At 45.0% G+C, this 26,094-nt stretch overlaps 1 long non-coding RNA gene across 1 annotated transcript, besides 2 other annotated features; it reads left to right on the forward strand.

Annotated features, from left to right (window-relative positions):
- Positions 1,456-1,750: an enhancer, noted in NCBI's record as "tiled regions #11364 and #13366 (exact overlaps); HepG2 Activating DNase matched - State 12:CtcfO, and K562 Activating DNase matched - State 12:CtcfO". NCBI's record gives its function as "activates a minimal TATA promoter and a strong SV40 promoter by Sharpr-MPRA in HepG2 cells, with weaker activation in K562 cells {active_cell/tissue: HepG2 | K562}" and the evidence as "EXISTENCE:reporter gene assay evidence [ECO:0000049][PMID:27701403]".
- Positions 5,517-5,716: a silencer, noted in NCBI's record as "silent region_5892". NCBI's record gives its function as "represses an Ori minimal core promoter by ATAC-STARR-seq in GM12878 lymphoblastoid cells {active_cell/tissue: GM12878}" and the evidence as "EXISTENCE:reporter gene assay evidence [ECO:0000049][PMID:35858748]".
- Positions 5,597-7,708, forward strand: LOC124903341 (uncharacterized). Its single transcript, XR_007064246.1, has 2 exons — positions 5,597-5,846; positions 7,544-7,708. It is a non-coding gene; the product is annotated as an uncharacterized LOC124903341 (long non-coding RNA).
- The last annotated feature ends 18,386 nt before the right edge of the window (positions 7,709-26,094 follow it).

Raw genomic sequence — 26,094 nt, forward strand, 5'->3', positions numbered from 1 at the left:
TGAAACCCCGTCTCTACTAAAAATACAAAAATTAGCCAGGTAAGGTGGTGCGTGCCTGTAGTTCCAGCTGCTGGGGAGGCTGAGGCAGGAGAATCGTTTGAACCCAGGAGGCGGAGGTTGCAGTGAGCTGAGATAGCCTGGGTAACAGACCAAGACTCTGTCTCAAAAAAAATAAAAATAAAAATAAAAAAGAAATACCTGAGAAAAGGTAATTTATAAAGGAAAGAGGTTTAATTGGCTTGCGATTCTTCAAGTTTTACATGAAGCATGGCAGCATCTGATTTTAGGGAGGCCTCAGGAAGCTTCCAATCCTGGCATAAAGCAACGAGGAGCAGGTACGTCACATGGCGAAAGCAGTAACAAGAGAGAGAGTAACGGGGGAGGTGCCACACCCTTTTAAACAATCACATCTCATGAGAACTCACTATCCTGAAGACAGCACCAAGGGGATAGTGCTAAACCATGCATGAAAAATCCGCCCCCATGATCCAATCGCCTCCCACCAGGCCCCACCTCCCACATTGGGGATTACAATTCAACAAGAGATTGGGGCGGGGACAGACGGCCAAACTATGTCACCTTCATTTTACTTTTCTTTTTCCTACAGCAAAAATAACCATGTGATATTTGTGTAATTGTAATAAAGAACTACAAAATCACTTTTATCTTTTTAAATACAAAATTCAAACTAAAATCATTATTGTTAGTTGGAGAGATGGTGGAGGAAGGAAAACAGAAGCTGAGGATGACACTACTAATAAGTAACAATAATGACAATGACTCCTGTTACTTAACGGCTTGCTTAGGTTCACAGTCTTTTTTATTTGCTAGACGCTTTAACGGCTTCTTCCAAGCAAACAAAAGTCTTGGAATCCAAACAGTCCCTTTACTCCTCACCCCTCATACCTCATGGAGGGAAATTCTTGGTTATGTGCAGACACATATGTGGACTAAGTTAGCATGGCTGTGGCACCCCTTACCTGACACGGATTTAGACTTTAGCTTTTCAAACGTTTTGGTCTGTATTTATTTATTTATTGAGACGGAGGCTCACACTGTCACCCAGGCTGGAGTGCAGTGGCGCCATCTCCGCTCACTGCAACCTCCGCCTTCCCAGGTTCAAGCGATTGTCCTGCCTCAACCTCCCGAGTGGCTGGAATTACAGGCGCCCACCCACCACACCCAGCTAATTTTTCTATTTTTAGTAGAGACGGGGTTTCACCATGTGGTCTCGAACTCTTGACCTCAGCTGATCTGCCCGCCTCGGCCTCCCAAAGTGCTGGGATTACAGGCGTGAGCCACAGCGCCCGGCAAACCTTGGTCTTTAAATCACGTTGGCAAGACTGAACTCAAACGTAAGCTCTCTGTTTTGGTTTTGAGAGTTGTGCCTTCTTATCTAAAACAGTAACAATTTAAATATTTTTGTTATTTAAACAAACCAATAAGATCTGAGGAATGAGCAACCGTCACAGTTGTCTGAATAACACATTGCACGGTAGTGGTGGCTGTTTCATAACGGACTTGGCACAGCAGTGCCCTCTTAGAGACAAAGGTGGACCATTGCGCCGCCGTGTGGTATTGAGGGGTATGGCGCCTTCTTCCTTTTATAATTACGCTTTTTCTAGTTAAGAACTAGAATAACCTTCGCGGTCGCTGGGTGGAGCCCTTTCAATTTGTTGTGTGGGCTAACTAAGTGTGGAAACTAAGACTCAGGCAAGTGATGTTACTGGGGCTTGAACCCAAATCTTCACCCTTTGTGCTCCCAGCTTTTCAAGTTAACTCAGGGATGTCTGCACATAGCTGGAGGGAAACGGAGCTGTCTTATGCAAAACTCAATTTCACATTCAAAGAAACTGAAGTGTAGAGAGGATAAGTGACTTGCTAAAAGGTCTGCGCTAATTTGGGGTCCTTCGTTTTTTATTCTACTCATTCGTTTATTCACCAAATATTTATACACGTGTCTACTACATGTCAGGCACCATTCAAGGCACTAGAGATAAAATAGTGAACACAGCAAACAAAAATCCCTTCCTGCAAAAATCCCTTCATCTCTTCCCTTCATAAAGCTCATGTTCTAATGGGGGAAACAAAGTAAGCAACTAAAATATATAATACCAGATTAGAGAGGGGTAAATGCAAAGAAGAAATAAAAGGGAAGGGGGATACGAAATGTTAGGAGGGGCTACTTTTCTGAGTGGCCAGAGAAAACCTCCTTGATAAGGTGACTGGTGACTTTTTTTTTTTTTTTTTTGAGATAGAGTCTCACTCTGTGGCCCAGGCTGCAGTGCAATGTCATGATCTCAGCTCACTGCAACCTCTGCCTGCCAGTTCAAGTGATTTTCCTTCCTCAGCCACCACGTAGCTGAGACTACAGGCACATGCCACCATGCCCAGCTAATTTTTGTATTTTTAGTAGAGACAGGGTTTCACCTTGTTGGCCAGGCTGGTCCTGAACTCCTGACCTCAGGTGATCCACCTGCCTTGGTCTCCCAAAGTGCTGGGATTACAGGTGTGAGCCATGGCACCCGGCCAACAAGGTGACTTTTGAGTAAAAACACCTGAAAGAATTTAGGAAACCAGTCATACAGATACAGGGGAAGAGCATTCAGGCAAACTGCATGGTAGTGCAAAGGCCCTAAGACAGGAAAATGCCTGTGTATTCATGAAAAGATAGCAAACTCAAGGGTAGTAAGAGCTATAAGAGGTAGGGTGGCCTGTTCACATGGGGTCCTTCAGGTCAAAGGAGGACTTTGGTTTTACTTTAAATGAGACAGGCTATTGAAGAGGTTTGTTTTTGTTTTTGTTTTTGTTTTTTTCTGAGACAAGGTCTCACTCTGTTGCCCAGGCTGGAGTGCAATGGCGTGATCTCAGCCCATTACAGCCTCAACCTGCCGGGCTCAAGCGGTTCTCCCACCTTAGCCTCCTGAGTAGCTGGGACTACAGGCATGCGCCATCACACCCAGCTAATTTTTGTTGTTGTCGTTGTTTTGCTTTGTTTTGTTTTTTGTAGAGACAAGGTCCCACTATGTTGCCCAGACTGTCTCGAACCCCTGGGCTCAAGCAATTCTCCTGCTGTGGCCTCCCAAAGTACTGGGATTACAGACGTGAGCTACCATGCCCTGCCACACCGATGATTTCAATGAGCAGAGGAGTGGTGTGGTCTGCCTTTTCAACAAGATCACTCTGGCTACTGGGTTTGCAACAGGCTTCAGAAAGCAAGTGCGGGGACTGTGAGAGGAAGGGACTATTCAGTAAGCCTGTCAAGGGATAACAGCAAATTAGAAAAGGGAGGTGACAATGGGTATGGTCAAAAGTGGCCAGAATTTAGAAATACATTTTGAGGGTAGACCAACCAGGTTTGCTGATGAATCAGAAAGGGAATAAAAGAAAGAGAGGAGTCAAGGATGACATCAAGGTTTTTGGTTTGAGCAACTGGAAGGCTGGCGTTGCCATTAACGGAGAATGTGGGAAAAGCTGGTTTGGGGGCAAATCTCACCAGTTTAATGTTAGACATGATAAGTTTGAGATCACTGTTCTATACCCAAGTGGAGATGTCAAGTGGGCAGTTGATTACATCATCTGGAGTTCATTCAAGAACTGTTAAATGACAACAGTCTAGTCCCTGAGAACCTTAACTCTATAAAATGACTAAGGGCGCAATAATGATTAGAAAACATTCAGACTCAAATAATAAAATACTTTCTCCTTTAACGTGGTTTTCCAGATTTCTACTCAAGGAGACCTTTTAAGTGGCTATTCCTTTCCTAGTTGAAGGCTGTGAATCTTTTGCTCACAGACATGAGACATGAGTCTCCTGACACTGATGAGACCTTTAAGACAGTTGCCTGTTCTCTGGGTTACTGGATGGAGCCCTTTGTGAAGTCAGTGGGAGCCCCAGAGAGAAGCCTGCTTGGCCGGTGGAACATCAGGGAAACTCTCTTGTGCTTTGTGTTTTATGAAAAGTAGGGGAGATTCCAACCTGAAGCCTTCCCATCTTTGCTTCCTGGGGTTTTGTTGATACCCAGGTCAGGTGCAATTGCTTGCAGCTTCATGATGTCTCTTCGTTATCTTATAGTCTGCCCTCTTCCCCAGCTCTGTACATGATGGAATTGCCATTCTTTTGCATGGGTACACTCCTTCCTGGGATGTGGGCAAGGGATGGCAGAGTGACTGACAGCTTATTGAGTACTAGGCAGTAGGTTGGGCACTGATAGACATACCCTCCATTAGTATACGAAGACGAAGCCACCGACCTACCAACTGTACCACTCACTGTAATCACAGCCAACATTTATATACTATTTTAGAGTTCAGAAAACACTTTTACAGACAGGTGCCAGTATACTGACTAAGAGTACATACAGACTCTGAGGCCAGGCACAGTGACCCATGCCTATAATCCCAATGCTTTGGGAGGCAAAACCGGAGGATCACTTGAGGACAGAAGTTCAAGACCAACCTGGGCCACAAAGTGAGTCCCTCCCTGTCTCTACAAAAAATTAAAAACTTTGCCAGATATAGTGGTGCACACCTGTGGTCCCAGCTACCAGGAATTCAAGGTTACAGTGAGCTATGGCACCACTGCGCCACTGCACTTCAGCCTGGGAGAGGGAGTAAGACCTTGTCTATTAAAAAAAAAATACAGACTCTGGAACCAGGTTGCCTGAGTTGAATCTCAGTTCTGTCCAGTTCTGCCATGACTCACTGTGTGGTCTAGGACAATTTACTTAGCCTCTCTGTTAAGTCTTGGTTTCTTCAAGTGCAAAATGGAGATTTTAAATAATCCTAACTACCTCCTAAACTAGCTTAGAGATTAACTGAGATAATACGGAGGCAGCCCTAAGAGCAGTGCCTAGAACATAGTGAGCCCTCAATAAAGGCAGAAGGGATCGTACTACCTGGTTGGGACTTTTTAGCCAATTTTACTAATAAGGAAACGGAAGCCCAGGGAGTTTATTCAGTGTGGCTAAGTACTAAGGAACAGTACTAAGGAACAGAAGCCCAAGACCCAATCAGGGGTTCCTGCTTCTGACTCCAAAGCTTTTCCCACTCAGAATCCACTTCCTTAGGGAGTGTGGGTTTTATGTTAAAACAAGCCAAACTTTCGCACCGGCTCTTCTGGTGTCTCCTAGCTTTGCTTCTGAGAAAGGACAGCTGAGGTTGGAGGGAATAACAGCAAAAATAATTGACATTCTTGGGTCCATCGGTCGGTGTGCCGGGCCTGTGCCAAGGACTTCACCTGCCCTTCCCATTCAATATTCACCAAAAAACCTATGTGCTAGGTACTTTGAATAACCACTTTATATAAAAAGTGGGGTGCAGAGCCACTAAGCAAGCAGGGGTGGCGTGTGTCGGAGCCAGAATCCATTATCGGCTCTCTGATCAGTTTACCCCCAGGAGGACCTTTCCCCGACCCCCTACCCCGCCGGGAGCAGCCTATCTTCGTGCAAAATGCACCGAGCTACATACAGAGGCTGCCTTCCAGGACTCAGCGCGGAGGGTTAGGCTGCCTCGAACCCCATTCTGGTAACTCCATCCCAGCTGGGACGCCGGGCCCTCTCCGCCCCTTGCGGCCCACCCCTCCCCTTCTGCCCCCCAACACGGGGACCGGGCGGGCTCTCGGTCGGCGCCACCGCGCCCCCGCATCAGGATCCTCGGCGCTGACGTTCTCTCCCCAGGGGGAGGAGGGGCCCAGGAAGGGTTAGGTCCGCAGCCAGTGCGGAGAAAGGGCCCTGGGCTCGGCTCCCACGCTCGGGCAGGCCTCCCGCCGGGGGATCGGAGCTGCGGTCACTCGCGGCTTCGGGGCCGTGGCGTCCCGCGCACAGCTTCCGCGCCTCTGCAAGGCGGTGAGTCGTTTCTTCCCGGCACAGGAGGGACAGTTTCCCCACGTGGACGCGGGGCTGGCAGCGGGAGGGGCAATAGCGCTGGCGGAGCTTAGGGTTTCGCGGGAGCAACCAGCGCGCGCCTCTCTCTCTCCCCTCCCCTCGCTCGCGCTCGCTCTCCCCCGCCCTCTGTCTCTCCCCTCTCTCTCTCTCGCTTTCCCCCCACTCTCTTGCTTTCCCCCTTCTCTCTCTCTTCCCCTCTCCTCTCGCTCGCTCCTCGTCTCCCCTGGCTCTCTCGCTCTCCCCTCTCCCCGTCTCCCCACGCTCTGTCTCGCTCTCCCCCGTCTCTCTCCCTCCCCCTCTCCTCCCGCTCTCTCTCGCTCTCCTCTCTCTTCTCCCCGACCCCCTTGCGTTCTCTCTTTTTCTCTCTTCCCTCGCTCTCCCCTCCCCTGCCCCGTCCCTCTCCTCTCCCCTCTCCCCACATCTCTCTCGTTCGCCCCTCTCTCCCCTCTTCGCCCTCTCTCTCTCCTTCCTTCTTCCCACCCTCTCTTCCTCCGTCTCTCCCTCCCCGCCTCCTTTCCTCCTTCCCTTCACCCCCACTTTCCTTCTTCCCTCCTCCTCTCCTCCTCCCCTCCTCCCCTCCTTCCTTCCTCCCCTCCTCCCTTCCTCCGCCCCCTCCTCTTACAGGGAAGGATGCCCTCGGTTTCGCTGCGCTCTCCCAGGAGCGAACTCCCGCAGCCGCTCAGGCCAGCGCCAGAGACCTTGTCCCTACCAAGGCGGGCCGCGCCCCTTGGTGGGCTGGGCTCAGGGAGCGCGCTTTGCACGCTTCAGATGTCTTTGTGGGAAGCCTGGGAGTAGCTAGGTGTGAATGTGCTGCCCTTAATTTAAGCCACCAGTTGTAAATATGTGTTCTAGTGCATATTAATAACTCTCCCTCGACCCACTCGCCTCCTGCCACTCCAGTTGCTCCAACAGGGACCCCCTCTTCCCTTCCCTCGGGCCAGCAGCTCTTCCTGTACAGGAGAAGCGATCTGGGTAGCTCAGGAGCTGCCTGTAGGTCTGCGTATGGCCTGTTTCTCTTTCTTCCCCTCTGTCCCACACTCTCCGCTCACTCCTGTCTCCCTGCTGTCACTCTGCAGCTATGACACTAGATCACTAATAAGGGTAGGTGAGAAGGAAAGGGAAGAGGAAAAGAAAATAACAGCCATTTATTCTGATAAACCCTCAACATGTGACACCTGGGTTCCTTCCAGGCATTTGCTGTGAAAATAGGTGGTCCTGGTTCTCAGTAGTCCCAAAGCCTCTAGTCCGGATGGGGGTAGAATTGCCGCAGATGCGGAATCCACTAACAGTCGAGGAAGCTTATCTTCCTGGAAGCCTTCAGCCTCCCACTCCCACCTCTGCCCCATTCTGTTTGCTTCCTCCCTGTCTCAGCTTCTGCTTCTCTCCTTTTTATAACCTGCTGCTAAGAAAAGTCTGAAAACTTGAATTATAAATACATAATATATCAAGTATTGCCTGAAATAGAGATTTGAAACCTAAAAGGGAGGAAAGAAAAGAAGCATCTTGAATTCTAGGAGAAGCAGTCCTGGGTGCCGCGTCCCCAAGGACTGGCTGCAGCTTCTCTCGGCCGCGGTTGCCTCATTTATAACATGGGGATACCCATCCATACCAACCATGGTGCAGGGGATTGCACCAGATCATTCTCACATCTCTTCCAGCTCTGAAGAAATGGAGGTGAACAGAGGAACAGCCACTCCCAGCAAGCAAGGGAAGAAGAATCTTGAAAGCCTGTGACTTCACAGAGACTTCTTGATTGATGCCCCTGAAATCAGCCTGCCAAGTGTGGCCTCTGCAGCATAAATACAAGGAGTCTGATGACACAAGACGGCGTCTGATGATAGTTCTGTCACCCTCAGCCATATTATAATTCCATGTCCTCGTAGTCACCCTGCCATAATCCCACCATTTCCTGCAAACACAGCTTCTCCTGCCTGATGAAGTCTTACCTATCCTTTAAGACCTAGCTCCGACCGGGTGCAGTGGCTCATGCCTGTAATCCCTGCACTTTGGGAGGCCGAGGCAAGTGAATCACTTGAGCCCAAGGAGTTCTGAGACCAGCATAGGCAATATGGCAAAACCCCAGCTCTACAAAAAAAAAAAAAAAAAAAATTAGTTGGGCATGGTGGTGCACGCCTGTAGTCCCAACTACTTGGGAGGCTGAGGTGGGAGGATTGCTTGAGCCCAGGAGATCAAGACTGCAGTGAGCTGAGATCATGCCACTGCACTCCAGCCTGGGTGACATAGTGAGACACCATCTCAAAAAAAAAAAAAAAAAAAAAAAAGGTCCACACTCTGGGGAGCCTTTCCTGACTATCCTGAGGATACAGGGGATGCTTCCTCTGTGGGTTCCCACAGGATCGACCCACACTTAGATCCCTCACCACTTTACTCTGCCATTTACTCCCCTCCCTTGACCATCAGTCTTTGAGGAAAGGGACTTTGCCTTCTTCATCGTTGCCTGGCACAATTCTTGCTTTTCCTACCTTGAATGAAAAGAGATGATAATCCTATGTAATGACAAATGACTTAGATTTTCTCATTTAACCCTCACACAACTCTGGGAGAATGAACACAGCTGAAGTGGCTTGTCCAGGTCATTTTGTAAGTGGTGGAGCTGTATGATCTTGCCCACTTCAGAGACCATAAGCTCTAGCTTGCAGCTGTCCCTGACTGCCTTCTGCCAGGTGATGGGAAGCTTCTCACAAAGGCAGTGTCTACCTCAGCTTCTTTCTCCTTTCTCTCCCATCAAACTCAAATGTGAGGCAGCTAAGAAAGTTGAGTCAGCTCCTGAGAAAATTCAGGTTTTAATAACCTGCCTTCCTTAGGTGCTTGTCCAACTCCTCTGGCAAGGACCCTTCTTGGAGGGCTGAGATTGTTTTCCTGGAGGCCACCAGACTTCAGGCTTCTAACCTCAGAGCCTGGGTGCTTTGTCTTACAGCATGGTCTTTCTGAGCTGCTGGAGACCTCTCAGGTGTGAACCTAGTCTAAGCCACCATATAACTGGGGTTCCAAAGGCTTATCTCTGTTGTTATGAATCATCCACTGGATACATAGAGGGATGATAACTGGTTGCGGATCATTAGGTTCCTGTCCCTAGAGTTGTGTGTCCCAAAGCAAGCCACTCAGCATTCTGGACCTCAGGTTTTTTTCTGTCTTCCTCTTTCTTTCTTTCTTTCTTTCTCTTTCTTTCTTTCTTTCTTTCTTTCTTTCTTTCTTTCTTTCTTTCTTTTTTCTTTCTCTCTTTCTCTCTCTCTTTCTTTCTCTCTTTCTTTCTTTCTTTCTTTCTCTTTCTTCCTTCCTTCCTTTCTTTCTTTCTTTCTTTCTTTCTTTCTTTCTTTCTTTCTTTCTTTCTTTCTTTCTTTCTTTCTTTCTTTCTTTCTTTCTTTCTTTCTTTCTTTCTTTCTTTCTCTGACAATTTCTCTCTGTCACCCAGGCTGGAGTGCAGTGGCATGATCACTGATCACTGCAGCCTCAATCTCCCAGGCCCAAGGTATCCTCTTGGCTTAGCCTCCCAAGTAGCTGGGACTAGAGGCATGCATCACTATGCCCAGCTTTTTTTTTTTTTTTTTTTTTTTTTAGTAGACACAAGATTTCACAAATGTTGCCCAGGCTGGTCCCAAAGTCCTGAGCTCAAGTGGTCCTCCCTCCTTGGCCTCCCAAAGTGTTGAGATTACAGGCGTGAGCTACCTCGCCCAGCCTGGACCTCAGTTTTCTCATCTGGAAAACAGAAATTCAATTTAAGAAATATCAACTAAGGGAGGCTGAGGCGGGAGAATGGCTTGAACCCTGGAGGCGGAGGTTGCAGTGAGCCAAGATCGTGCCACTGCACTCCAGCCTGGGCAATAGAGTGAGACTCCATCTCAAAAAAAAAAAAAAAGAAAAAGAAAAGAAATATCAATTAAATGCCCATCATGTACAGAGCCCAGAGCTAGGTGCTAGAGATCTAAGTGCAAAGGTAAAAAGATATAATCTACGCCCTCAATAAATGTAAAGGCAAATAGAAGAGATACAATTTTTTTTTTTTTTTTTTTTGAGACAGGGTCTTGCTCTGTCGCCAGGCTGGAGTGCAATGGCACAATCTGGGCTCACTGCAACTTCTGCCTCCCAGGTTCAAGCAATTCTCCTGCCTCAGCCTCCTGAGTAGCTGGGACTACAGATGCATGCCACCACACCCAGCTAATTTTTGTATTTTTAGTAGAGACAGGGTTTCACCATGTTGGCCAGGACGGTCTCGATCTCTTGACCTCGTGATCTGCCCGCCTCAGCCTCCCAAAGTGCTGGGATTACAGGCATGAGCCACCGTGCCCAGCCGAGATAGGAATTTTTAAAAACAGACCCACAGCAAGGTGAAATAAAGTAGATGTGAAGTAAGAATATTAATACCTGTTTTGCCTACCTCATAAGGTTGTGCCAAGAATCAAATGAGATCATGGATAACAAGTATCCTTAAAGCACTATGCAAATGTAAGCAAGTAGTAATTATTATTTGGCTTTGCGGGAGATACCAATTGGGTTGTTTGCCTGAATCTCCCCTTTTTCCCAAGAACTGCTCCTATAGCCAAATCCACATGATAACAGTGGATTGCCAAATCCACATGATAACACCTCCTCAGGTGCCATTTTGGTTGATTGAGCCAGGTGCAGACCCCAGGAATGGGAATGAAGGTGGCTCAGTCTCAGTCACTCTGGGCTCTTGAGCAGAGGAAATACAAACACTGGAGGCTTAGAAAGCTATTTTCTGACTAGGTGGACTGAAAATTTAAAAATACCAAATTGGGCCAGGCACGGTGGCCCACGCCTGTAATCCCAGCACTTTGGGAGGCTGAGGCGGGTGGATCTCCTGAGGTCAGGAGTTCAAGACCAGCCTGGACAACATGGTGAAACCCCATCTGTACTAAAAACACAAAAAATTAGCCAGGCATGGTAGCGGGCACCTGTGATTCCAGCTACTCGGGAGGCTGAGGCAGGAGAATCTCTTGAACCCTGGAAGGTGGAGGTTTCAGTGAGCTGAGATCATGCCACTACACTCCAGCCTGGGCAACAAGAGTAAAACTCCGTCTCAAAAAAAAAAAAGAAAAGAAAAAAAAAACCCAAACTGCATCCAGAGAAAGCATGTAGACGTTCAGAGAGGAATGAAAACAAGAGGCTCCCTGTCATTCAGGCCTTGGTTCCCATCTGTCCCTGCCTGCTGTAAACAATATCCCACCAAGGGCCAGCTTTTGCTAAAGATAGCTCTGGTGGGCTTCAATCACCATTAAACAGTTCCTAAACTAATTCTGCTAAGGCTAATGTAGAGCAGAAGACTCCCTTGGCCCATGTAACAGCTGTGTCATCATTCATTTACTCATCCCATCAGTCAATGAATATCATTGAATGCCAGCTGTTTACAAGCTTGTAAGAAGAGGAAGAAAAAACATTGGCTGCAGTCTTTAAAATATAAACCAGCCACTGGATGTCAGCCTTCTGGCCAACTGGCTCTCAATGCTCCTGAAATTTCCCAGTTGTGCCCTGGGAGCATTTTGGAGGTATCTGACATAGCTGCCACTCACAGCTCTTTCTGAGAAGTTCTAGAGCCTTGGACACCATGGTGTTTTCCCATCAGCCTTCCTCCTCTGGTAACAGCCGCTAAACCCCACTCACACACACACTTTCGGGGAGCTGCCTCACCTGCTTCCATGTTCTTCTGGTGAGACTTTAATCACATGACCCCTCCCCTGAGCATAGACAGGGTGGACTTAGGGCCTAAACTGAGCAACAGAATCACTTTCTGGGGACTTTGAACTTTGAGCTGAGACACAAATGCAGAGGGCAGTTGGAGCCGGGCCATGCCACCGCAGCACCACATAGAAAAGCTTCAGCCCTGCTGAGATCACGGTGCCTGGTCCCTGGGTTCAGTTATTCCTTTAAATCTGTAGCCACCCCGGATTTTCATCTCTTACAAAATAAATATCTTTTGAACCAAATTAGCCAATCAAGTATTTGTAACCAAAGAGTTCGGGCACATCTGCTCTCTGCTTTTTCAGATAAAAGCTCATGGATGAGTGAAGAAAAAGAAGAAAAGGATAAAATAGAGAAGTTGTGTTGTGTCCCCTGCTCAAGCCTGCAGCACAGCCTAGCTCCTAGTTTAAGACCCTTTAATGAATCTATATTTACCATCAGGTTTTTATTTATGGAAATCTACACAAGGCATTTGGATGAAGGCTGATGCTTATTTCAGGAAAGCAAGTCTGTGGTTTCAACAAAACCTCTGTTAGCTCCCTCCACACCTGTTCGCTCTTCTGCCAAACTACCTATTGCTCATTTCTAAAGCAAAAAATAAAATCAGGAATCGGATTCCAAAGCAGGACAAAAGTGGTGATTAAAGAGACAGGCTAGAGCCAGGTGGGTCATGCCTATAATCCCAGCACTTCCGGAGACTGAGGGAGGAGGATTGCTTGAGGCCAGGAGTTTGAGACCAGCCTGGCAACATAGTAAGACCCCATCCCTAATTTTAAAAAATAAAAATAAAGAGGCCTATATTTTTTGTTATAAATTTTCTTTCTTTTCTTTTTTTTTTTTTTTTTTAGATAGAGTCTCACTTTGTTGCCCAGGCTGGAGTGCTGTGGCGCAATCTTGGCTCACTGCAACCTCTGCCTCCTGGGTTCAAGTGATTCTCCTGCCTCAGCCTCCCGAGTAGCTGGGATTACGTTATAAATTTTCTTAATGAGCATTATGTATTTCTAGTCAACACAGGTCCCTCTTGAAAATATCTTCCTAATATCATAGAAGTTGCCCCCCAAAGTAATACTGATAGAATCATAAATAATAGGCCAGTAATACAGCTAACTAATAGCAGATCTAGGACCAGAACTCAGGTCTTAGTATCACTAAATCAGAGTTCTTTCCACCATTCCATGCCTCCTTTCACAATAGAATTTGCCTAAATATTATTTCAAAATGTCTTCATTATAAGAATTTTATTTATCTACATATATCAGTGTTTCTTTGAACAATAAATATTTGACAAAGAATCTAGATACAGAAACTTTAAGTATTTATTTCCACTACTAGTCAAGATCTATAAAGTATGCAGATTATATATCACTAGGGATGGAGAATCCAAATAACACAATTAAATGCACATCCAAATATTAACTAAATATTATTCATCAGAGAGAAAAGAGTCAGGGAGTGAGAGACAGAGAAAGAGGTTGTCTCTCCCCCACTGTTCATTACGCCAGAGTTTTAGCCCCTGGGCGTTATAATGGTCTTACCACACCTGTACGGGCCTCAGCTTCTAAAGTTTCATCAGGCCGAATGTCGTGGCTCACGCTTGTAATCCCAGCATTTTTGGGAGGCCGAGGTGGGTGGATCACCTGAGGCCAGGAGTTCAAGACCAGTCTGGCCAACATGGCAAAACCCCGTCTCTATGAAAAATACAAAAATTAGCCAGGCATGGTGGTGCACACCTATCCCAGCTACTCGGGAGGCTGAGGCATGAGAATTGCTTGAACCTGGAAGGCAGAGGCTGCAGTGAGCTTAGATCTCACCACTGCACTCCAGCCTGGGTGGCAGAGCGAGACCCTGTCTCAAAAAATTTTTAAAAAAGTTTCATCAGTGTGTCACACTCATATACACAGGTATTGTTTCCAAAGCTCATTCAAAAAGTGCTAGGTAACTAGGCCAGGAAAGGTTTCCAGCCTAACATACTCTGCCCATTCCAGCCTTTCCAATATGATAACCTAAGTGCTGGTGTTCAGACAAATTGCCATTTCGGTCAACTCTTGTCATCAACTTAAGTTGCCCCTTGGGGAGGCTTAATGTCCCTTTCTGCCTTCTGGACTTGGTTGGGATCATCTTAGGCATTGGAAGTATCAAATAATGTTAAACCTCGAGAGATGTAGCTTGGGTATTAGGTCCCTTTCATTTAAGTAGGGTCCTTGGCCCCCAAAACACGTTTCTCCAACCTCTTTGGAAGTCAGCTACATACCAGGGATTAGACCAAACCTTAGCCATAAAACTGGCCCTGTTTGCTTCATTCCTCTGGGAAGATGGACCACCACTTGCTTTAACTTCGCATAGTTAAAGAGCCAACTCAGACAATTCTTGCCAAACAAGATCTGCCCCCACGGTCTTTTGCCATACACATCCTAGACACTGCCTTCAGCAGTGTCAGAACTTTGAACCTCTTTTAAAGGGCAGCTTCTCTCTCTAATGAAATAGTCAATTTTTTTTACCTTGTTTTACCTTGTTTGGGCCTTTCTACCCAAGAATCAGCAGTTTAATAGTTTCCTCATTCATCATACCTGTAGAGCACTGCACTAGGAGAAAAAGAAATAAGATACAGGATTTCCCAAATGAAGAGGATAAAGGCCAAGGCAAGGCTGCAGCAGCAATCTCAGCTGTCCTGTGCCAAAGATGACAGGACCACTGGGAGAGAAAAAGGCGAACAGGGACGGACAAGAGAGAAGAGGCAGTAATCAGTAGTCTGAAGACTGCTGGAGAACAACTTGACATTGTGTATTTAAGGACAGCCTCAACAAAGAAACCTTATTAGCCAGAGCTATCAAAATAGACCCACTTACTAAATATGTTTCCAAACTCTTCACTCCCACTCAACTGCATATAGAAACATCCTACAAAAATAATTTTTTCAACACACCCCTTTGAAATACATGGTAACGTTCCCGTTTGAAGAGCAAAATGATTGTGGTGCAGATGGTAAGTGCCCATTATTACAGGGCAAGGTGGTGAAAACATCAGAAATGGGTTCTTAGGTGCTTGCTGGGAACTGCCTTAGATTTCACACACTTAGGTGAGTGTTGCAGTGATCTATGACTACCTAACAAGCTCCTCCAGAACTCAGCCACTTAAAACAACAACCATTTATTTGTTAAGGATTCTGCAGTTGGGGCTGTGCTTACCTGGGCAGTTCTTCTGCTGGTCTCACCTGGAGTTACTCGTGAGTTTGAAGTCATCTGGCGAATTGACTGGAGCAGAATGATCTAAGATGACCTCACTAACAGGACTGGGGCCTGAGTGCTAGCTGTCAGCTCTTCCTCTCAGCTGATGTCATTCAGTAGCCTCGTGCTGCAGGAGCATGCTATGAGGGTTCTGGTGGAAGCTGCAAGGTTTCTCAGGCCTAGTTTCCCTTTCTCCTTCCACTCCTCCTCTCCTTCTTCCTCCTGCTCTCCTTTTATCCCTGGAGCACACTCAGAGGAAAGGCCACATGAAGACAAAGTGGCCATCTGCAAGCCAGGAAGAGGGCCCTCACCGGAGCCAGAACCTGATCAGAACCTTGGTGTGGGACTTTCTGACCTCCAGAACTGTGAAAAAATACATTCCTGTTGTTTAAGCCAGAGACTCTGTGGCATTTTGTTGTGGCACCTGAGCAAACTAATAGAGGTTGTTTACAGTTCTGGGGCTATTGCAAATGAAACTGCAATGAACATTTGTATACAAGTCTCTTGTGTGGAGATATGCTTTCATTTCTCTTGAGTAAATACCTAGAAATGGAATGGCTGGGTTACATAGTACATGTATGTTTCCCTTTTAAAGAAACTGTCAAAACTATTTTCCAAAGCAGCTGTACCATTTTGGATTCCCATCAGCGTCATATGTGACTTCCAGTTGCTTTACATCACAGGGTCTGGTAAATGTTTTTAATTTTAACCACTCTGGTGAATGCATAAGGGTATCTCATTGTGGTTTTAATTTGCATTTCCCTAATGACTAATTTTTTGTTGTTATTGAGACAGGGTCTCTCTCTGTTGCCCAGGCTTGAGTGAAATGGTGCCATCACAGCTCACTGCAGACTCAGCCTCCTGGGCTCAGGTGATCCTCCCACCTCAGCCTCCTGAGTAGCTGGTACTGCAGGTACACGCCACCACACCCAGCTAATTTTTTGTATCTTTTGTAGAGACAGGGTTTCAACATGTTGCCCAGGCTGCTTTGAAACTCCTAGGCTCAAGCGATCCGCTCACCTCAGCCTCCCAAAATATTGGGGTTGCTGATGTGAACCACTGCACCTATTGGCTAATGTTGTTGGTCATCGTTTCATGTACTTATTTGCCATCTCTATATCTTCTTTGGTGAAGGATTGTTTCCAATCATTTTGCCCTTTTATTATTGGCTGAGAGCTAATTAAATGTACATTCGAATAAGTGTAAGCATAGAGAGCTAGACACAGAATCTTACTGGCTGTCCAGTTTGGGCAGGTCTGGGAAAGGAGACCAGAACATCCAGGAGGCATCTGTGGACATTGAAAACTTGGAGGAGGGCTCATAAGGGCGGAAGGAAAAGTGGTCAGCCTAAAAATAAATTCTGCCAGCTTCACAGTTTGTCTAAGTTTAGCCTGAGGCCCCCCTAACAGTTTTCTCACCATTAGCACTGAATTCCAGCCCCTAGATGCTCTGAGAGCCCCAATTTCACCACGCTTTCTGTGGGAGTTTCCTGGTTCAGGAGTGCACCACCATATGTCACTCTGGCCTGAAGAAGTTTGCCAAGTTTGTAGACAAATACGGAGACACCCACGAGAAGTGCTTAGATAAGATTTGGCCCAGAGTCTTGTCTGGGGGCAGAGCTGAGAAGAAAGCGATGTCTAAAACGCGCTTCACTAACAGGAGGACTTTGGAAAGGAGGGATGGAGAGAAAGGACTGAGGAGAGTTAGGAGAGAGGACGTGAGGGAACAGTCATGCTCTGATCAAGGACACTGTGTTCAGCCATGGATAACTCCATGCCGCAAAGAGATAAGTGGGAGAGAGTCCAGGAAAGAGCAGGATAAATGATTAAGGAACAGAGAAGCTGATGTATGAAGCTGATTTAATAGAACTCACCGAAGCTTTTTCATTTAACAAAATGTAACAGGAGCAAAATTTCCATCCGGGCCTGAAAGGCAAGGGAAGTGCACGTATAAAAGATGAGGAAAATAGCAAATGTACGAGTCAGCTTGTCTAGCAAACCCATTAAGTAAAATGAGCATAATTTCTGCGTGAAGCAGGCCAGTTCTTGATCTAAACTTGTTTCTCTGTGTCGTGACGAGCCTGTTGTTGACATTTTCTCATTCTCTTCCATATTTCTCCTCATTCCCTCCCTCTTCCTCTTTTGCTTAGTGAATGTTAAAATCATAGGTGAAACTCCAAGCCAGGTGCGGTGGCTCACACCTGTAATCCCAGCACTTTGGGAGGCTGAGGCAGGAGGATCACTTATCAGGAGTTTGAGACCAGCCTGGCCGATATGGTAAAACCCTGTCTCTACCAAAAATATAAATATTTGCCAGGTGTGGTGGCGCATGCCTGTAGTCCCAGCTACTCGGGAGGCTGAGGCACAAGAATCGCTTGAACCAGGGAGGTGGAGGTTGCAGTGAGCCGAGATCATGCACTGCACTCCAGCCTGGGCACCAGAGCAAGACTCTGTCCTAAATAAATAAATGAATGAATAAATAAATAAATAAATAAAATGAAACTCCAGCTCTGAGAGTTCTTTCTTCACCTTTTTAGAGGAATCTTTCTGGTTGGGTCCTGTCCATGGGTTCCCCCATCCATGGTTATATCTATATTCCTCGGGCTACACCCAGTTGCCCTAGGCTGAGGTTTATCCTAATATGCCTAATTCCTCTTTGAACTAGGCCTTTCCTCAAGCCAGGAGCTCAGGAAAAAATAACAAATGATTCTACTTTGACTATCTTAACACAATTGCACAAACTATTTTGGAGTACTTCGTCTGATCATTTTTTTGTATATGTTGGAAGCGCTCGTGTCACATCATAACACCTCAGTGCATATATTAGAGATAATCATTCTGTGATGATTCATTTTCTGTGTCAACTTGACCGCGCCACAGTGCCCAGATATTTGGCCAAAAGTTATTCTGGATGTTTTTGTGGGAGTGTTTTTGGATGAGATTTGCTTTTTAAATCAATGGACTCTGAGTAAAGCAGACTGCCCCCCATGGTGTGGTGGGCCACGCCAAATCAGTTGAAGGCCTGAATAGCACAAAAGGCTCACCTCCCCTGAGCAAGAGGGAATTCTGCCAGCCAACTGCCTTCAAATTTCTTCTGAAACATCAGCTCTTCCTGGTTCACTAGCAGACTGTCTTTGGACTTGAACTGAAACCCTTTCCTACATCTCTGGCCAGTTAGCCTCCCGTGTCAGATTTTGGATGTATCAGGCTTCCACAATTGGGTGAGGCGATTCCTTTAGAATAAATCTCTTTACACACACACACACACACACACACACACACACACACACACACGTGTACCCACACACACGTGCATATGCACACACACACACGCACACATCCATCCTATTGCTTCTGTTTCTCTGGAGAACCCTAATACAAATTTGCATGTCATTAAATATCACTAGTGATGTAGCTAAGCATTCAAAATACTAAGAATGTGGTCATGGGCTTCCTCAATTAAGAATTCAGAACTGGGAGCTCGTAAGTTCACTGAAATTACTGTATGTTAAAGTAGGAGCTTACGCCTATCATAGGGCAAATAGCGCAAACATTTTTGGAGTTATCTCCAATGGCACAAAAGGCCATTTGTATGAACATATATATTTCAACCCCCTTTGAACTCTGTGAGTTAAAAATAAAAAATTAAAATGTATCAGTATCAACATAATCATTAATAATGTTGGCCTCTTTCCATTTAATCCCTTCTGTCTCACAACTAAAAGATCTGCTAATGAGTTTTTATTTTGAAAAGAGCACCTGGTACTAATTTCACATAGAAATAACATCCTTAGTAAAAAGAGATTTTATAATACAACAGAGTAATTCCTTCATCATCAAAATGCCTTATTAAGTGTCCTTTTACATGCAATACTCTACAGGTGTTATAAAAAGAAAAACCTTTCCTTAATAGTTTATAATATGAGCTATCACATGTTAATAACTAATAATTATCATTTATTGAGTACCTGCTATGTATCATACTGTTTTAAATGCATTATGGGTATAAATTTTTATTATTGTGACAAATCTGCTAGATAGTGTTATGTAATAAAGAATTTGGTCTTTTTCCTGGTTCCTGGGAAAGAGACTAAATTCTTGGAATTTCCTGAGTAATAAGAGTGCCTTGTTATTCATGGTGGGTCCCTAGAACCACACCTGAGTTAATGCTAATGAGGTGACACAGGATAGGGTTTGTTCACACCAGAAAGACCAACCATGTGATTAAAGGGTTGGGGCTTAGAGCCATGGGCTATCACATAACCTCCATGGAAGGAAGAGGAGAAGGGCGGGAGATTGAGCTTAATCATGGGGCCAGTGATTCTATCAATCATGGCTATTCAATGAAACCCCAGTAAAAACCCTGGACACTGAAGTGCCATCAAAGTTCCTGGTTGACTATAAACACTGCTATGGACTGAATGTATCTTCCCAAAATTCCTATGTTGAATCCCAGGTCTCCAATGTAACAGTATTTATAGGGGAGGCCTTTGGGGGGTAAAAAGCAATGCTGGCTCTGGCTCTACCTGCAGGGATGAGATTAGTGACCTTATAAGAAGAGACGCAGAGAGATGATCTCTTTCTCTGCCATATGAGGATACATCAAGAAGGTGTGTGTCTGCAAACCAGGAAGAGGGCCCTCACCAGAACCTGGACTTGCCAGCCTCTAGAACTGTGAGAAATAAATTTCTGTTGTTTAAGCCACTCAGTCTATGGTATTTTTTTATAGCAGCCAGAACTGACTAAGACACACACTGACATGCTGGGAAGGGTATGTGTCCAGAGGACATGAGAGCTCCTGCATTTGAGAACCCTCCTCCTAGACCTCACACTACGTATCTCTTCATTTAGCTGGTCCTGATTTGTGTCCTTTATAATAAAGCTGCAATCATTAATATAGTGCTTTCCTGAGTTCTGTGAGCTTTTCTAGTGAATTATCAAAGCTGAGGTAGTAGTAAGAACCCCTAAATTTGTAGCCAGTTGGTCAAAAGTGCAGGTGGCCTGGGGGTCCCAGAGCTTGTGGTGGGTGTCTGAAGTGAGGGGAGTATTATAGAGGACTGTGCCTTCAACCTGTGAAATTTGTCCTCACTCTGGGTAGCTAGCATCAGAATTGCACCAGAGGTAGTGATTCTTATCCCCGTTTAACAGATAAGGAAAATAATGCTTGAAGTGCTAAAGTACTATGCTCAGAGACACACAGCTCATGATGGGTAATACCATGTTTCAAAGCATATTTGTCTAATTCCAAAACCTACACTCTTTCTACCACTCTGGGAAGAGATGGGATCTCTGGGTTAGTCTGATAGATTTGCTACCAGGTTCTCTGTCATTTGGCATAAAAAGTATTTATTCAATCTACAGTGAATCATTTGCCCTACACTGATTGGCTTGTTCACTTGGAGAATGATGGTAATAAGCAGTGCTGGCTCTGGCTTCAGGTGAAGGAAATCCCTACAATCACTGTCAAGAGGTTGTGCTGGAATGGAATGGAGGCTTTTGACACACAAAACTCCAGGCTCAAAAATCGAAAGTATTGGCTTACCTGACTTAAAAAGAGAGTAAGGGAGCTGAACATAACCTTCACCAAAAAAAATGTGCAGATGACAAATAAGCGCATGAGAAGACACACAACATCATTAGTCATTAGCAAAATGCAAATTAAAACTACAATGAGATGCCACTCCACACCAACTAAAATGGGTAATAACTGATAAATAAAATTACTGACAATATCAAGTGCTAACGGGTGTGGAGCAACTGGAGTGCTCATATTTTGCTGGTAGGCATGCAAAATAATACAGTTACTTTGGAAAACCACTTTGGCATTTTCTTATAAAGTTGAACATATCTGTACCATATGACCCAGCAATCCCACTCCTAGGTATTTATAAATGTAAACATTTATAAACACAGATGTTTACAATGGCTTCATTCACAGTCACCCAACACAGGAAACAACCCAATGTCCCTCAACAGGTCAGTAAATAAGCAAATTGTAGTACATCCATAAAAAGTGATACAGTACTTCTCAGCAATAAAAAGGAACAAACATGCCAGTATGTATAGCAGCATTATTTACAATAGCCCAAAGGCAGAAGCAATGCAAATGTCCATCAACAGATGAATGATTCACAAAATGTGGCATATGCATACAATGGAATATTATCCACTCTTAAGAAAGAATGAAATTCTGATACATGCTACAGCATGGATCAACCTTAAAAACACTATGTTAAGTGAGATAAGCTAGAGACAATAGGACATATATTGCATAATTCCCTTATGTGAGGTAATTGAAATAGACAAATTGATGGAGACAGAAAGTAGAATCCAGTTTACCAGGGGCTGGGAGAGGGAAGAATGGGGGAGGGGGGTTTATTTAATGGATACAGAGTTTCATTTTAGGAAAAAGTTCTGGAGATGGATGGTGGTGATGGTTGCCAACAGTGTGCATGTAGCTAATGTCACTGAATTGTAAACTTAAAATGGTTAAAATTGTAAATTTTATGTTATATATATTTTACACAATTTTTAAAAAGAACAAAACTACTGATACACACAACATGTATGAAATCTCAAATACGTTACGCTACGTGAAAGAAGACAGAGCCAAAAGGTTACATACAGTAGGATTCCGTTGGTGTGATATTCTTGCAAAGGCAAAACAATAGCAGCAGAAAACATCTGCAGTTGTTGGGGCTGCGGTCAGGGAAAGGGCCGACTACAAAGAGATACTGGAGAATTTGGGGGGAATGATGGAACTTGATTGTGGTGCTGGTTCCATGACTATATACTTTTGTTAAAATTCACAGAACTGCACACTAAATTTGATAAATTTTACTGTCAATAAATTATACTTTAATAAAAATAATGGAGGGAGTATTGACTTTTGAAACTCTATACTTCTCTATCATAGCATTTGTCCTCTGCAGCAATAAATGCTAGTTAACATTGGAGAAGGGTGAAGATATAAGGACTTACAGGAGGCAAACGCCTTGAATAATATGTCAAAATATGAAAAACTCAGTCTGTCACCACAGTCGTCATGAATTCTCCATCCTGATTCTCCTCTTCTGCTTCAGTTCCCACTCGATCATGTGTGTTGGTCTCAGAACCACTTAGGGCAGCCTTATCTGTGCCACCACCCATCACATGAATGCCAAAGTCCATGTCACAGGTGCTATCTCTGGAACTTCCTGAGGCTTTTTATCATGAGGATATCAGAGTAAACCTGAATTTCATGCAGAGGCTGAAAGAATGGCCTCCTCCCTAACTCACTCTATGCCACACTTTGTTCCCAGGGCCATAAGGCCTGGGCTGGCTTAACCATTAGCACGGTAGGCACAGCACCTAGGGCCCACAATACTATTAGGATCTCATGAAATAGTTTTAATTTCTTTTAAAATCAGAAGAAAAAATGAACTTTAGGATCAAATAAAATGTTTTAATATATAATATTAATATATTCACCTTTATACCAATGTAGTTGTAAAATACCATTTTAATTTTTTTTAATGAGAAAAGGGCCCAAGAAGGTAAAAGTACACAGGGCCTTTGAAAGTCATAATGCAGCCCTTTGTGAAGAAGTTCTGTGTGTTGCCAGAATCTCACCAAATCTCTCTTAAACTGTTGGGTCAGCTTTTTGCTGATGTTTATTTAGCCATAGGGGTTCAAATTGGATCAGGTGGTGATCACATGGCTCTTTGCTCTTCTTCCCTACTTTTCTAACTCTCTGCTTCACTAAAATTTCTCTACACTTCTCAAGTTACAAGACCAAAACTAGGTAGGCAAACAAATTCCAATCTTCTCTAGAAACTTGTTTCTTTCAGTTATTATGTTGGTAATTTATGTCCTTTTGGCCCAAAGTCTTGTACATAAATTGAACATTTTAGTGTGTGGTGTTTCCCCATAATTCTCAAAATCAGATAATGATGGCATAAAGGTTAATTCCTGAAACCTTTCTCTCCCAGTACAAATCCAATTTCAGTAGGCCCTCCGTATCCATGGATTCCACATCCATGGATTCCACATCCATGGATTCAACCAACTATAGATCAAACATATTAGAGAATTTATTATTTTTTATCTTTTTTTTTTTTGAGACAGAGTCTTGCTCTGTCACCAGGCTGGAGTACAGTGGTGTCATCTTGGCTCACTGCAACCTCCACCTCCCAGTTTCAAGCAATTCTCCTGCTCAGCCTCCCCAGTAGCTGGGACTACAGGCACGCATCTCCACACCCAGCTAATTTTTGTATTTTTAGTAGAGATGAGGTTTCACCATGTTGGCCAGAATGGTCTCAATCTCTTGACCTCATGATCCACCTGCCTCAGCCCCCAAAGTGCTGGCATTACAGGTGTGAGCCACTGGGCCTGGCCCTAGAGAATTTTTTAAATGGATGGTTGCATTCATATTGAACATGTGCAGACTTTTTCCTTTTCGTTATTCTCTAAACAATACAGTACAACAATTTACATAGCATTTATATTGTATAAGCTATTACAAGTATTCTAGAGATGATTTAAGGTATGCAGGAGCAGCCGGGGGTGGTTGCTCACACCTGTAATCCCAGCATTTTGGGAGGCTGAGACGGGTGGATCACCTGAGGTCAGGAGTTTGAGACCAGCCTGGCCAACATGGCGAAACCCTATCTCTACTAAAAATACAAAAAAATTAGCTGGGCATGGTGGCACATGCCTGTAGTCCTAGCTACTTGGGAGGCTGAGGCACAAGAATCACTTGAACCTGGGAGATGGAGGTTGCAGTGAGCCAAGATGGTGCCACTGCACTCCAATGTGGGTGACAGAGTAAGACTCCATCTCAAAAAAAAAAAAAAAAAAGTATAAGGAGGATGTGCATAGGTTATATGCAAGTACTTGCCACTTTAGATCAGGGGCTTGAGCATCTGTGAATTTTGGTATTCACAGGGGGTCCTGGAACCAATCCCCCATGACTACTGAGGGATGACTGTACTAACCACTCCTCCAAGTAGCATGGAGCAGCTACTTGGGAGCAGTGAGCAGAGAAGCCTGTAGGAAGTGTGTGTGAAGTGTGAGCTCTGCTAGCATCCAAAGAAAGAGAGGAAGCAAAACGACTGACTTCCCGGCCCTGCCTCCCCTGCCATGTCAGATGGAAGCTTGGAGACTGACCCTTGAAAGCTCCAACTAAGGACCAAAAGAGAGTCAGGTGTGGAGAGCTTAGTGGGCCCTAACATGCCCACCACACACAAGGGCAGTGCCAGGCAGTGTGCTGGGCCCCAGGAGAAGCCGGAGAAAAATGAGGCAATATTTTAGTCTGCTTTGTGTTGCTGTGACAGAATACCTGAGACTGGGTAACTTATAAAGAAGAGAAATTTATTTCTTAACAGTTCTGGAGGCTGGGAAGTCCAAGATCAAGGCACCAGCAGGTCTGTTGTCTGGTGAAGACCCAGTCTTTGGTTCCAAGATGGCACCTTGAATGCTGCATTCTCCGGGGAATGGGGTGGGGGACTTGCTGTTGGCAGAAGAGTCCAGGAACAAAAAGAGAGAGAACCCACTCCCAAAAGCCCTTTTAGAAAGGCATTAAGCCCACCCATGGCCTAATTACCTCTTAAAGGCTCCACCTCCCAATATCATTACATTGGCAATTGAATTTCCACATGAGTTTTGGAGAGGACAAACATTCAAACCATAGCAGGCAGGCAGACTAAGTTCTTTCCTTCTCTAAAGATGGCAACCAGTTATTTTATAGCTGTGAAGACAGAGGAGCAGAGAAGCTCTCTGTCACCAACAGCTTGCAAGTAGGACACACTCTGCACCTCTCACCTGTCACAACTTTGCCTGGCCCAGGGAGCTCCAATAGCTTTATCAGAACTTCAGATTTTTGTAAGAGAAGTGACCAGATGTAGATGAAATTGTCCTTGACTTTCCCAATAAGTGCCCCAGCTCTTTTTACATATAAGGTGTAACTTGGCTATGTAACCTAGCTAGCAATCTCTTCAAGCTCCTATGGCTTTTTAAAAGATGAGCCAGTGAGGCTGGGCGCAGTGGCTCGAGTTTGTAATCTCAGCACTTTGGGAGGCTGAAGTGGGTGGATCACCTTAGATCAAGAGTTCAAGACCAGTCTGGCCAACATGGCAAAACCCTGTCTCTACTAAAAATACAAAAATTAGCCAGGCATGGTGGCGTGCGCCTATAGTCCCAGCTACTCGGGAGGCTGAGACAGAGAATTGCTTGAACCCGGGAGGCGGAGGTTGCAGTGAGCCGAGATCGTGCCACTGCACTCCAGCCTGGGTGACACAGCTAGACTCTCTCTAAACAAACAAACAAACAAACAAAAAACCAAAAAGATGAGCCGGTGAGCGTAAGCAAAGCCCATTAACACTGAAAGTACAGGAGAAGCATACCCACTCCACATTAATAATGCCAAAGTCTTGTCTTAAACTGTTAAAGTCTAGTAGTGTGTATATTACAAGATAGGAGTGACACTGCTCCATCCTCTGGACCCAATGGTAGAAGCCTGATATTGTGATTTATCCAAATCACACCAGTTATAGCAATGGATAGAGGAATGATCTGGGAATTTAGAGTCCTGTCCACCAACCGCATCCACAACTGCGTAAGTCATTTTATTTGTTGAACTTCAGTTTCGTCATTGGGAGAAACAAGATTGTACCAGAAGATTTTTATCAAACTTAACTGTATACTGCCAAAACACAGTACCACAAACTGGTGGCTTAAACAACAGAAATGTGCTTCACAGTTCTGGAGGCTGAAAGTCTGAAATCAAAGTGTTGGTGGGGTTGGTCCCTTCTGAGGACTGTGAGGGAGAATCTGTTCCTCGTCTCTCTCCTTGCTTCTGTAGCCTCAGGTATTCCTTGGTTTGTAGATGACTGTCTTTTCCCTATGTTTTCACATTGTACTCTCTCCATGCATGTCTGTCTCTGTCTAAATTTCCTCTTTTTTTTTTTTTTTTTGAGACGGAGTCTCGCTCTGTCCCCCAGGCTGGAGTGCAGTGGCGCAATCTTGGCTCACTGCAACCTCCGCCTCCCGGGTTCAAGCAATTCTCCTGCCTCAGCCTCCTGAGTAGCCCACCACCACACCCGGCTAATTTTTTTGTATTTTTTTTAGTAGAGATGGGGTTTTACCATGTTAACCAGGATGGTCTCGATCTCCTGACCTCGTGATCCGCCCACCTCGGCCTCCCAACGTGTTGGGATTACAGGCGTGAGCCACCGCACCCGGCCAAATTTCCTCTTTTTAAAAGGACATCAGTCACACTGAGTTACAGCC

The sequence above is a fragment of the Homo sapiens genome, chromosome 14 (assembly GCF_000001405.40).
Source record: "Homo sapiens chromosome 14, GRCh38.p14 Primary Assembly".
NCBI lineage: Eukaryota > Metazoa > Chordata > Mammalia > Primates > Hominidae > Homo > Homo sapiens.